This window comes from Homo sapiens, chromosome 11 (genome assembly GCF_000001405.40).
Source record: "Homo sapiens chromosome 11, GRCh38.p14 Primary Assembly".
Taxonomy (NCBI): Eukaryota; Metazoa; Chordata; class Mammalia; order Primates; family Hominidae; genus Homo; species Homo sapiens.
This window is the reverse complement of record NC_000011.10, coordinates 8,196,570-8,209,136: the sequence shown is the minus strand read 5'-3', so window position 1 is coordinate 8,209,136 and position 12,567 is coordinate 8,196,570. Positions and strand designations below refer to the sequence as shown.

The window sequence follows — 12,567 nt, the reverse complement described above, 5'->3', positions numbered from 1 at the left end:
AGTCTGAACCTCGGAGGGTAAGGGGGGTGCTGTAGAGGGGTGCAACCCCTCACCAAGAACTTTATCACCAACCCAGGCTGCATTAACAGAGTATAGTGTCTAGAACATGGAAAGGAACAGGCTGTCTTCCAGCCAGATCGCCTATGGACTTTGGGCTTCAGGAGGAAGGTCCAAGGCAGCAAAGGGAAGGGAGACCCTGTCAGATGAGAAGCACCTACAGCCTCTTAGCTTGTCTTCCCCGCAGCAGAGCAGTCTTAGAGCCATGGCTTTCCAGACTGTGGAGCAGAGAGGTCACATGTGGGGGCACTGGTATCCAGCAACGTTGGGTTGGTGTCTGGCTCTGTTACTTTCATCAGTGACCTTGCATAGCTTACTTCACATCTCTCTGCCTCAGAATCCTACCTACCAGCCGAGCGCGGTGGCTCACGCCTGTAATCCCAGCACTTCGGGAGGTGGAGGTGGGCAGATCACAAGGTCAGGAGATCGAGACCATCCTGGCTAAGACAGTGAAACCCCATCTCTACTAAAAATACAAAAAAAAAAAAAAAGAAAAAAGAAAAGCCGGACATAGTGCCGGGCCCCTGTAGTCCCAGATACTCATGAGGCTGAGGCAGGAGAATGACATGAACCTGGGAGGCAGAGCTTGCTTGCAAGTGAGCTAAGATTGTGCCACTACACTCCAGCCTGGGTGACACAGCCAGACTACATCTCAAAAAAAAAAAAAAAAATCCCACAGAGACATGAGGAAGACTACATGGGATAATGCATTAAAGTACCTAGAACAGCGTCTGGCACGTAGTAGATCCTCACTTCACGTTAGGTGTTATTATGGTTGTTACTATTATTAGCTGAATGGGTGTCATGAGCAGAGGGAGACTGTATGGGTGGGGTATAGGGAAGAGCATACAGACTCTGTGTAAGGACGACCCTTCTCCATATGAAAGCTTTGATGGTAGTGAGCTTCCCACCCTGGAGGTGTTCAGAGGCTGAATGACTCCCCTCCCCAACTCTAAGGGCCACCTTCAGTTCTTAGACTTTTGGGGTCCCTTCTACAACTTTTCTTTAATTGACAGGAAAAAAAGTATGCATTTACCATGTACAGCATGACGTTTTGAAGAATATATACATTGTGGAGTGACTAAATCTGGCTAATTAACATACGGATTATCTCATATAGTTTCTTCGACAACTTTTGCACCTGGAGGAGATTCCCAGGACAGTCTGTCTGTCTGCTGGATTCTATTCCAGAGGAAAGGAAATGGGTGGTCCCAGCCAGTGCCTACAGAGGAAGACTCAAGAACTCCTTCCTGACTCATCTCCCTGCTCACAAACGCCCTCGGAATTCCTCTTTTTGAGCACAAACAGCAGGATAGGGACAGGGATGACGGCAGGAAGAGGCAGCTTAATAAAAAATCCCAATAAAGTTCTGCAGCCCCCGGCGGCCAGGTGCAGGTCCTGGGCATGAGCCTTCCTTAGACCCGCCCACAGGGGGGCCCTGACTAATATTCCTGGAGCCTCTGCCTGCCCCTGGCTTCATTAATGATGCTGAAGAAGGGTCTACGAGGTCCAACGGGGCTCCCCATTGCTGCCTGACGATATTGCTATGCCGCCCACGCCAGCCCCATCCCAGCACACATACCCTCCCTCTTCTAGACCCTCTGCAGAGGAATGGGTTTGATTCAATCAGCCATTTGCCTGTGGGACCGTCTGGTTCAACTTATTGTGGGCAGATGCCAGCGCCAGGGAGTCAAGCAACCCTGGTGCGGAATTTGGAGCAAAGACTTATTAAAGAGCAGCGGAGAGGCTCTGGGATGGGGGCTCTGTACCCCCAGAGCCACCAGACCCAGGGTGGGCTCCAGCTAGGAAAGGCAAGGGTGGGATAGATAGGGACAGGAACCCAGGCAGAGCCCACCAGGAGTGCTCCCCAGCTGGCTAGAGCTCCTCCCCTGGCAGTTCAGGGCTGGCCTCCCTCCACCGGGAGCTCGAGGTGGGACAAGCTCGGGTCTTGTTCCCTCTATGTATTCCCTAATAGAAAGCACAATGCTTTAAGAAGTTTGGGCTGAGAAAAGCTAAGTCTGAGTACTTTGAAGACGGCCAGACAAAGGGCTGGTGGGGACAGCACGGAGTGCCTCGGCCCTCAGCTGCCCACAAAAGGAAGGAAAAAGGAGTGCAGACGTTGCAGTTCGGCTTAAAAAACAAACCCGTGAAACAGAGACAGCCCCCCTACTTCCCCCTCGCTCCAGCATTAGCAGGAGGGGCTGAAAACATTTGTTCAGAGGGAGGGTGGGGGGAAAAACCCTAAGTGCTTCTGCTTCCTTTTTTTTGCCAAATCATGCAGAAGATGCTGGCAGCTGCAAAGATTCAATTATGAACAATGCGAAAAATCATTTACAAAAATAATGGCACTCGAAAAAAAATGGCCTCTCCAGAAATGGCGTGGAACAATAAATCCGTTAATTAGCTAATTAATATTCAATTGGGGTCAGTGGGCTTAATAGAACCTTTCTTGGAGACCCAAGAAATTCTAAACTGCCGCGAGGCGCCTGCCCACTGCCATTATCTCGGGCGAGCAGGCCCTTATCGGGCTGCCAGCTGTCCCCGAACAATGCGGGCCCTTATCAGCTGGGGCAGCAGCCCTGGCCGCTCGCTCCGGCTCCCTCCGCCCAGAGGAGCACGCAGCCTCTCGGTAATTGATACACGGCGCAGCTTTGTCTGAGGCTGTTTGCTCTGCTGGTATTTAAGGCAGCGCGGGCCCCCTGATTGATTGCCATTGGCCAAGTTTCTGCTGTCAGTGAAGGACCAGCCAATGGCAGCGGTTAACACTCTTGATGGCCCAGTCTTCTGGGCCAGGCCAGAGGCCCAACATGCAGGAACAAGGCCCGCTTCGGTTTGGCGTAAGTTTTGTTGTCCTCCTAAAGTGGGAACCTGAGCCCTCAAAGACTTGGGCGTTTGGGTGGGCCGCTGGTATCCCCTGCCCTGCTTTGCTCTCAGTGCGGTCTTTGTCTCAGGAAAATGGGAGGTTGCATCAGACCCTTGTTACTCTAAGTGTGGTCCATGGACTTGCAGCATCCAGCATCTGCGAGCTTGTTAGAAACACAAATGCTCAGGCCCACTTCAGACCTCCTGAATCTGAGTCTCTGGAAATGGGGTCTAGGAGTCTATGTTTTATTAATTGCCCTAGATGACTCTGATAAGGGCACGCTGAAGTTTGAGATGCAGTTATCGAGATCAGGGTTCCCACCCTTGGCTGTGTCTTAACACAGGCTCCCACCTGGGAGAGGGAGAATTAAATATACAAATTCCTGGGTCCTGCGGTGTAGGGTCATTTTCCCTCAGCCGCACCCTGAGCACAAGGTACTCTGGGAACACTAGAACTGGCCAGCAAAGAGACAGGGATACCGGCTGCCATGGTCGTGCCCATGGGGGTCCTGCCCAGGGTGGAACAAGGTTGCGCATGTCAAACAGTGTAGACAAGTTCTGGCTATACGGGACTTGGGCTCCAGAAATCCACAGGGAGTTAGAATGCATTTTCTATTTTTCTGAATCAGTGTCTTGCTCTGTCACCTAGGCTGGAGTGCAGTGGTGTGATCATAGCTCACTGCAGCCTTAAATTCCTGGGCTCAAGTGATCCTCCCCTTAGCCTCCCAAGTAGCTGGGACTACAGGTGCATGCCACTATGTCTGGCTAATTTAAAAAGAATTTTTTTGTAGAGATGGGGTCTCACTATGTTACCCAGGCTTATTTCAAACCCTGGCCTCAAGTGATCCTCTTGCCTTGGCTTCCCAAAGTGTTGGGATTACAGTTGTGAGCCTTCCAGATGCATGTTTGATAGAAACAACGTTCCACATGGGAGGTGGGCTCCCAGGCTAGCCCCTAGATACCGTGAGACCCATAGCAAAGCTGAGTCTCAGCACATCCCCTTAGCAAATGGAAGGAGAAGGGAGGAGAAGAAAGAAAAGGAAGTTAGGGAAAAAGAAGGTGGAGGGGACTTTATTGTCTTACTAGGGCTCAAATCATGGGGTCAGGTTTTCTGAGTGTTTCTTCGGTCCCCTACATTCTCGTCCTGCCCTGTCTTCTCTCACTTCACTGCACTCTTTATCACTGCACCCTTCCTGGCCTGCCCTCTCAGGTAGAGCTGAGAATCCCGTGGCTCTGCCTTCTCCCAACCCAGCCCCACATGTTCCAGCCGCAAGCCTTTGGGGACCAGCTTGGTCATGCCTCTGCATATGAATGAGCAGGACCGCTTCACTGAGGCAGGAGAGCTTTGGTGGGATCTGGACTTGGAGTTAGCTTAGATGAGGTGGGTAGGGAGAGTCCCCCATCCTGACTGCACCCCACCTTCTCTCAGGTGTTGAATAGGAGCCAGTCAAGCAATAGGAACAAGGAGGCCGTAAGGTAAGGGGCAAACACCAGGCATAATGCACCCAGCCTCAGCGCCCCTCATCCAACACAGTGGAGCTTGGTGAGAGGAATTCAAGAGCCATGCTCTTCCTGGAACAGGGCCAGGTACAGGGAACTCTGGGTATCAGCAGGTGACAGGACCTCAGCCACAGGGGCCATGGGGGGTTAGTGAGGCAAAGTTGGTCCAAGCAACGGATGGCTCTAAGCTTAGGATTATGTTGTCCTCGGCAGATGACTGGGCAGGGCCTTGAACCCCAGAGCAAGTTAGGATGAAGTTATCAGGTCTGGGGTTCCAGGCAAGGACCAGATGGATGTGATTCTGAGTGAGACCAGAGTGAAGGGCTAGAGCTACTGAAGCTCTTCCTGCCTCCTGGGCCACATCCCAAGTTGCCCAGCTAATGTGATCAGTTCCTTCGTCTCCATTGTGAATCAGCAGCAAGGGCCCCATGTGATGTTCCTCCTGGGTCATTTACTTCTCTAGCAACAAGGGGTTTTCAGTGCACCCGCATCTGCATGGGAGGATTACCAGGCACTTCTAGAACTGCCAGGGCCTCAGGGGAAGCTCAGCCAAGTAGATTGACTGGTGCGGACTGTCGGAGTCACCAGCAATCAGCATGGGGAGGAGCAGAGCTGATGCTGCAGTCCCAACCAAATGGCCCTTTCATCTGTGCCCTCCTCGGGGCTCTCAGTGTATCAAAAGGCTGTTGAAGAATATCAAAGGCAAGCAACCATTATCCATCACTCTTCTAGGTTAAATAACTTCCATATTGATGTGTTCACGAGACTCTAATGAGGAAAATAGCCTTCTGTTAAGTAAGCAAACCATTGACCTAAGAACCCATGGGTTAGCCCAGGCCCTCACCTACCACGTGAGCAGTTAGCTTCTAAAGCTGCCCAGACACCAAAAATACGCCCTTCCTCCCCAACCACATATGTTCACGCATGTCACTTTGGCTCTCATGGGGCTCCTTGATCCCTCCCTGAGCAAGTGTGCTCCTTTGGACAACATGGGTTTGGCCCGTCTCACCAAATCCTGGAAACGGAGGCCAAAGGTACTCTTGTCCAGGCTAGAGTCCTGACCCCAACTCTCTGAGGGGTGCATGTGTGATCCCAGATCATGGATATTGCCCTGCACAAGCTGGTGCAAGAGCAAGATACCCTAGTCTTCCTTTCCTAGATCAAATCTGCTCTGGTCATGTTTCAGGAGGCCACTGGGTGCTGGCCCATGCTTGGAGTTGCTTCCACAGCCAGCTATTGGTGGGAGGGAGTGAAAGGCAACAACAGAACGTGGACATGGAGAGAGAGACATTGAGAGACTCAGAGACACACTTAGGAGAGAGGCAGAAAGAGAACTCGAGAGAGCCGGTTGGTTTGTGTGAGAGTGAGGGAGAGCTCTAATCATTGGTTCAATTATCTGAGACTCTACTTTGACAACCATAGAGACTTCCTGTGCCTATGACAACAATTGCCAGGATGGGAGTGGTGGTAGGTTGGGACTCTGCAGATTTTTCTGACTCCAAATTCCTATTGTGACCTTGAGTCTCTGGTTTCCTATGAGCTCAAAGTGGGTTCTTCCTTGAGCTCCTTCCTTGAGAGGGCTAAGCTTGCTCCCAACTCCCTTTGTCACCTGTTCTCAAAACACCAGATGATTGGGACCCTCAGACCAGTGTCCAAACCAGTTTTATAGATGAGCAAACTGCAGCTCAGGGTGTAACCGCTGCCAAGTGCACATTATACACGAGTTAGGTGCTGGGCCATGGCAGTCCAGGAATGGCCTCCCCGCTTTACCGTTAGTTATCTACCTGCTGCCCACTCCCTCACTCCCCTTACTCAACAGTCTCTGTGCCAGGGCAACCAGGCCCTATCACCAGAGGAAAGAAAGTTTCTGCTAACCTGAAAACAAGCCATAGGAGCAGGAGGCCCTGAGTGCGCCTGCGGAGTTTGGAGCTCCTTCAACTTCACGACTAATTGCAGAGAGGCAGTGGGCGGGCTCTTGGCAAGCAATTAGCTGTCCCACTGCATGAATAATTTGCATAGAAAATGCTTTATTTTGGCAATCTATTAAAGGGCCCACAGTGCTGTGGCTTATCTCAGTCTCACAGCAAGGAGAAGGCTTGGCTATCTCGTTAAGTTCTGTTGATGCATAACAATTTGAAATGGGCACAGGCTAGTATGACATTTAAAGATGCCTTCACTTAATTATATTACACAAACATAGGGTTGTTTATCCTTGGGAATAAAGTCTTTTTGAAGTCAAAGTTGGCATGTGCATAAAGGAGGGCGTTTTAACCGATTTTTCAAGAGGAAGCCTCCTCACTTCAAACTTGGGGGGTTGCATTTCCCTAGGGCCTCGTAACACAGAGGGTTCTATGGCTGAGATGCAGACTTTGAGATTGGCTCTCTAGTTCTTCTTATTTAGGGGTGGCCTACAGTTTGGCACTTAATACAATATTGCGGAAAGAAAAGCTTATTAGAGCAAGGAAAAGAGACTTGCTGTGTGACCTTGGGGGAGCCCCTCCTCTTTTCTGAGCTTCCATTGCCTCCTGTGCAACACGTGGGGTGGGACTTTCCTTCTCTAAAGCAATGACTGGCAAACCACATGTTCTGCTTTCACCTTGCCACTCCTCACATTGACTCTGTAAATTAAAATACAGCCTCTTTGTTAAAAGCCAAAGGGAATTCAGGAGCCCCATAGCACGCTTTCTAAGGACTAGAATATGCTGGAGGAGGGAGATGAGGAAAAATAGGAAGGGGCTTGCAGCTGCAGCAGGTGTTGGTACATTTTGCTCTGCCAAGTCAGAAGGCCCCAGGAGACTGCAGAGCTTGCAGCCTTGCTTCATTTCCTTGAAAACTAGGAATTGGGTCCTGATTGGAGGAAATGCAAGAGGAACCCTAGGGGCTTTGAGAAAATCCATGAAACCCTGAGAAGCCTGCCTTGCTCACAGGTTGCCCATGGAAAGCTGACAGATGCCAGATAGCTCTTCACCTCTAGGCACTGGAGCAGAGACCAGTGCTACCCTGGGAGGAGCTCTAGGCGCAGGGTTGGGTTGGCTGGTTTCTGGCAGACCAGAGTCTTTGTTGATTCCAGTGAAAGTGCTGCCTGAGTGGGTCATTTAACAGAAGAAGATATAATGAGAAGGAGGGCTTTGTTTAGGGCCCTGGCTTCCAGACACTGTGCTTCTCCTGGACTCAAGCTTTCTGGAAAACAGACTCTTATCCCACCTCCCTACTCCCTTCCTGTACCTCTAGGACTGAGGACTGCACTCAGAGATGACATGTTCATGCTTCTTCCTGTTTCTGGTGTATATATATTTATATATATATAAATATATATATTATATATAATATTATATATATAATATTATATATAATATATATTATATAATATATATATTATATATATTATATATTATATATTATATATAATATATATAAAAATATATAATATATATAATATAATATTTATATATCTATATATTTATTTGTGATTAATGGGCACATTATCGCTTATTAAGTATAGAGACAATTCCCACTTCATTATGATTTCCTATAAATAAAACCCTGTTAAAACAATGGAGAAGGCCGGGCGCGGTGGCTCACGCCTGTAATCCCAGCACTTTGGGAGGCAGAGGCGGGCGGATCATGAGGTCAGGAGATCGAGACCATCCTGGCTAACACAGTGAAACCCCGCCTCTACTAAAAATACAAAAAATTAGCCGGGCGTGGTGGCAGGCGCCTGTAGTCCCAGCTACTCGGGAGGCTGAGGCAGGAGAATGGCGTGAACCCGGGAGGCGGAGCTTGCAGTGAGCCGAGATCGCGCCACTGCACTCCAGCCTGGGCGACAGAGCGAGACTCCGTCTCAGAAAAAAAAAAAAAAAAAAAAAATGGAGAAAACATGAGTTAGCATTAATAGTTAGCTTTATATTTAAATAATGTGGATAACATTGCTTTGCATAAGAGCTAAAGAAATGCCAACTCCTAAACACAATTAGGTAGTTCCTTGGCTCGTGTTTAACTGTTGTCAATCACTGCCTGCTCTAACATGATTGTCCCCATGGGTAGTCTTGAGTAAAACCTATCCACTGAGTATGTTAATCTGGAGTCAAAATGTTCCTGGTGGTGCTAGAAAGAGCTTCCTATCTAAATGTTAGCATTACACAAACAGTTGAGTTGAAAGAACTGTTAGGCTTGTAGCATCTAAATAAAACAAAGCAAAGGTACCACTGACTGAGCAGTTTGTTCTATACCAACCACAGTACTAAGTACTTTGGCAAGTTAAACCATATGACATTGGTGTTTCTGTGGTTGAAAAATAGCTGAATGGTGGCAATTTCATATGGTTCAACCTAATATTACCTCATTTAATCCTTACCATACCCTTACTATTGTTATTATGCTTTCCATATTACAAAATAGGAAAATGAGGCACAGAGAAATTAAATAACTTAACCTCCAAATTACAGAGCAAGCAAGTGGAGCCAGGTGCCATCTTTTGAAGACCAAGAACTCTGATGTCATAGGCATCCAGCCCTGATAGTTTACCTTTTACAAAGAGTTCCCATAAGCACTTCACATGTTTTAGTGAACATGATTAAACTGAACCTGGTACATTTTGTATGCTCAATTATTGTTTATTAAATAAATAGGTGAATAAAGGATTGAGGCTCCAATATCAGAATGGTGTACAGGAACAGGCTGACTAGACACTGCTGAGCCACAGACATTCCTGGCCTGAGGCTCCTCACATTCTCTTCCAGTCTGGACCCCTCACACCAGGCTCATTCCCTGAGACAAATATTGGGGGCAGGGGCCAGGCATGGCTGGAGGAGTGTAGGGGGAAAGGGGAGATTGATCTATTGGGGGTGAGGGGCAGGCATGGCCGGAGGAGTGTAGGGGGAAAGGGGAGATTGACCCAGGATGGGAGGTCATTTGGAGGAGCAGAACAAGGGAGAGGATGGAGAGCAGAACCGTCATGCCATGAGCCACTGTTGTCAGGTGGGAGAGATAGAGCTCTTCTGAATCTGGATTCCCACTCCCACCCAGTCCAGCTGCAAACAGGCTGTAAAATGTCCACTAGCATTAGAGTCTCTGTGACACATCCCTCACTTCCTGAGCACTTGGAGTCCTTTCTCTTTGAGCCCAGGTCTGCTCTCGGGCTCAGATCAAACCTGCCCTCTCATAGCTAACTAAATCCACAGCTTCTTCTCTTCTTTTAACATCTTGTAACAGTGCCCAGGGGACTGAGGTTAAGCATCCTCAATGGCCAGCGGTGGAGGGAGGAAAAGGTATGTGGGCACTGGTGGGCACTCCAGAGGACACACCATGATCCCACTCAAGGTATGAACCAGTGGGCTGGAATATAATTTAATATAATTTAATGTATTCATGAATTTTTGGTCAAAGACAACTAAGACATTGAAACCTATGAAATGACACAAAAATGCACAATAATTATGGCTGCCCTTATGAATAACTCCCAATAACAAGAAATAGATGTGGTTAGCCTAATTGTTGCCTTCAGTTTTGCATCAAGTAGAGTTTCCAAAAGGGAGTGATTGATTGGCAGATGCTGATGCTGTGCATCTGCCTCCCTCTGGGTAGCCACTCTGCACACTGTAATGATAATAGCAGTCTATGGTGATAGGAGTATACAGGAGACTTGGTGAAGTTGGATACTGCAGATTCCAGGCTCTCTCCTTGAGGAACAGAGAGATAGGTGAATGAGTGCAAAAGGAGGAGCAGCTGGTTCCTGGAGAACGGCAAGTGATGGAGACCTTTACCTTCATTGGACCTGAAACCTCCAGATCTGGGTCACTACTAAGGACCTCCAAAGAATGAAATTCAGTTCTATTCAATGACTTACTCAGCATCTATGTGATGCTTTACTAAGCCCTATGAGGCTACAGAGAAGAATCACCCATGTATTCTGCTCTCAAAGAGCTTTCACATTTTGCCTCGTTAAGACGTTATCTTATCTTGGATGCTACACTTTGTATCATTATCATTACAGTCCTATGCCTATGCACCATGTTTTATGATTTGCAAAGTTCTTCCAATTTGTTAGCTCATTTAATCTTGCCATAACTCTATAGGGGCAGAGATTATCATCTCTGGAGGGCACTGAAGTCTCAAGGGTAGGTGACCTTTCCAAATTTATTCAACAAGTCCATGAAGATGAAGGAACCAGAACATCAGTCCTTATTAATTCTTAGTCCCGAATTCCTTCCATAACGGCATACCACCTCCTGGGATGGGGTGGAGGAGAACTCTGGCTCTGCCATAATTGATCTGGTGTGGTATTAACAAGGTAGAACTCATCTGGCCATTGGGGTCTGCTCAGACAGCATAGTCTTCATAAAGCCTGGGTGCCAACAGCATCATCTGGATGGAAGAAAGCAACAAATGGAAAAATTACCTTCCAAACATGGCCAGAGTATCCAGAGTCATTTATCATTCATTCAATAAATATTAACTGAGACCCCACTGTGTGCCAAGAACTGTGCTGCAGGACACCCCGGATGGGGAAGACATCCCATCAGTCTCTGGCTCTTCTTCCCTCTCACCCTCAGTCTGGCTGTCACACCAAAAAGGGAAGTCAGAACTTCCATACCAAAGAGAGTTCAGTGCAGGTGTCCAGGAGAGAGACAGGCCATCACTTGCCATTCTCCAGGAACCAGCTGCTCCCCCTTTTGCACTCATTCACCTATCTCTCTGTTCCTCAAGGAAAGAGCCTGGAATCTGCAGTCTCCAACTTCACTAAGTCTCCTGTATACTCCTATCACCATGGACTGCTATTACCGTTACAGTGTTCAGTGTGGCTACCCAAAGAGAGGTAGATAAGGAGGGTCTTACCTACCTCCTCTCTTCTCAGAAACATCCTCATTTCCTCCGGGAAAATCCAGGGAAAACCTGGACTCACCCTACCTATGAAGGGAGCTGGTGGCCTCCATTTCCCACACACTAAGTCAGTGTTTCCCTTATCCCTTTGGCATATGGCACTCAAAGGCCAAGGAAGACTATCTGAATGTTCCAAGGTTGCTGAAAGAAATCTCCTAGATCCATTCTTCTTTGTTCTTTCTTCATCTGCTTTTTCCTGTGATACCATCTCATGTGGCTCAACTTTTGCCCCAAAACTCAAACTGATTCTGCCACTATCCTTTGGACTTTGTTGTGGGTGTTTCAAGTGCATGAGCTTCAAATTTTTCCTAAAATGGGGTAGGAGTTACCTTGCCCCTGTCTTGTCTTAGATGGGAGCCCCCACATGGCACCCAGGCCCCCGTATCAGCCATGTGGTTGTGCCCTCCTCTAAACTAAACCTAAATAGACCATTGGTATGGGCATAACTTTGAAGTGGCTCACCTAGGAGAGGAAGGGGAAGCTGCAGTTTGAGGACTATTTAGAGTTAGAGCCAGCAGTCAGGAAGAGGTTGAAAGTTGTTATTGATAGAGAAGGGCATGAAAGGAGTTTCCATATGAAGGTCTCTATTCCTTAGGGTTTTTTTTTTTATCATGACTGAAGTGGCTGGTGGTGCAGCAGGAGGTTAGAGGAGAGGAAATAAATTCTGAAATAGCTTCTGTGGAAAGCAGGAGACAGATATGCTGGGTACTGACAGAGAGATGGGTGGGAACTATGGAGGACCTGGAAGAAAGGAGACCATAATTTGTAGGATTCTCTTTCTTGTGTTTGGGTAATTGGCCCAGGACAACTCAGCTCCCTGTGTGCAGGGACAGGAAAGATGGTACTTGGATTGATGCCAGATTAGGAAATCACTGACAATGGCAGTGAGGAAAACAGAGGTCAATGGAACTGAGTGTGTTGACAAGACAGAGGTAGATGTAATGGATCAGTGGAAGGATAGAGAGGAACTAAAGCCAGGAGAAGTCTGAAGGAGTTCTAGAAAAAGGAAGACTTGAGGAGCTGCCACAATAAGGACAAGAACAGTAGAAGCAGGGATAAGGAAGTGTGAGTATCTCAAAAATAGGAGACTTTGGTCATAAGAAATACTAGAGAAGAAGGCTTCACAGGCAAAGCAGTTTGGGTAAGAACAAGGTCAACTTTGTGCCTATAGGCAAGGGGAGCTGAGAGATCTATGGGGATATCTCTGGCCCACCCAAAACCTGGACTTCCCAGTTTCTCAACCTCATTCCTTCATCTGCATATCCCTCC

General features: G+C 48.0%; 1 annotated feature.

Moving 5' to 3' along the window:
- Positions 1-4,638: an enhancer, noted in NCBI's record as "VISTA enhancer hs1859". NCBI's record gives its function as "enhancer in: neural tube[8/8] | hindbrain (rhombencephalon)[5/8] | midbrain (mesencephalon)[8/8] | forebrain[8/8] | heart[7/8] | blood vessels[5/8] | liver[4/8]" and the evidence as "EXISTENCE:transgenic organism evidence [ECO:0001131][PMID:17130149]".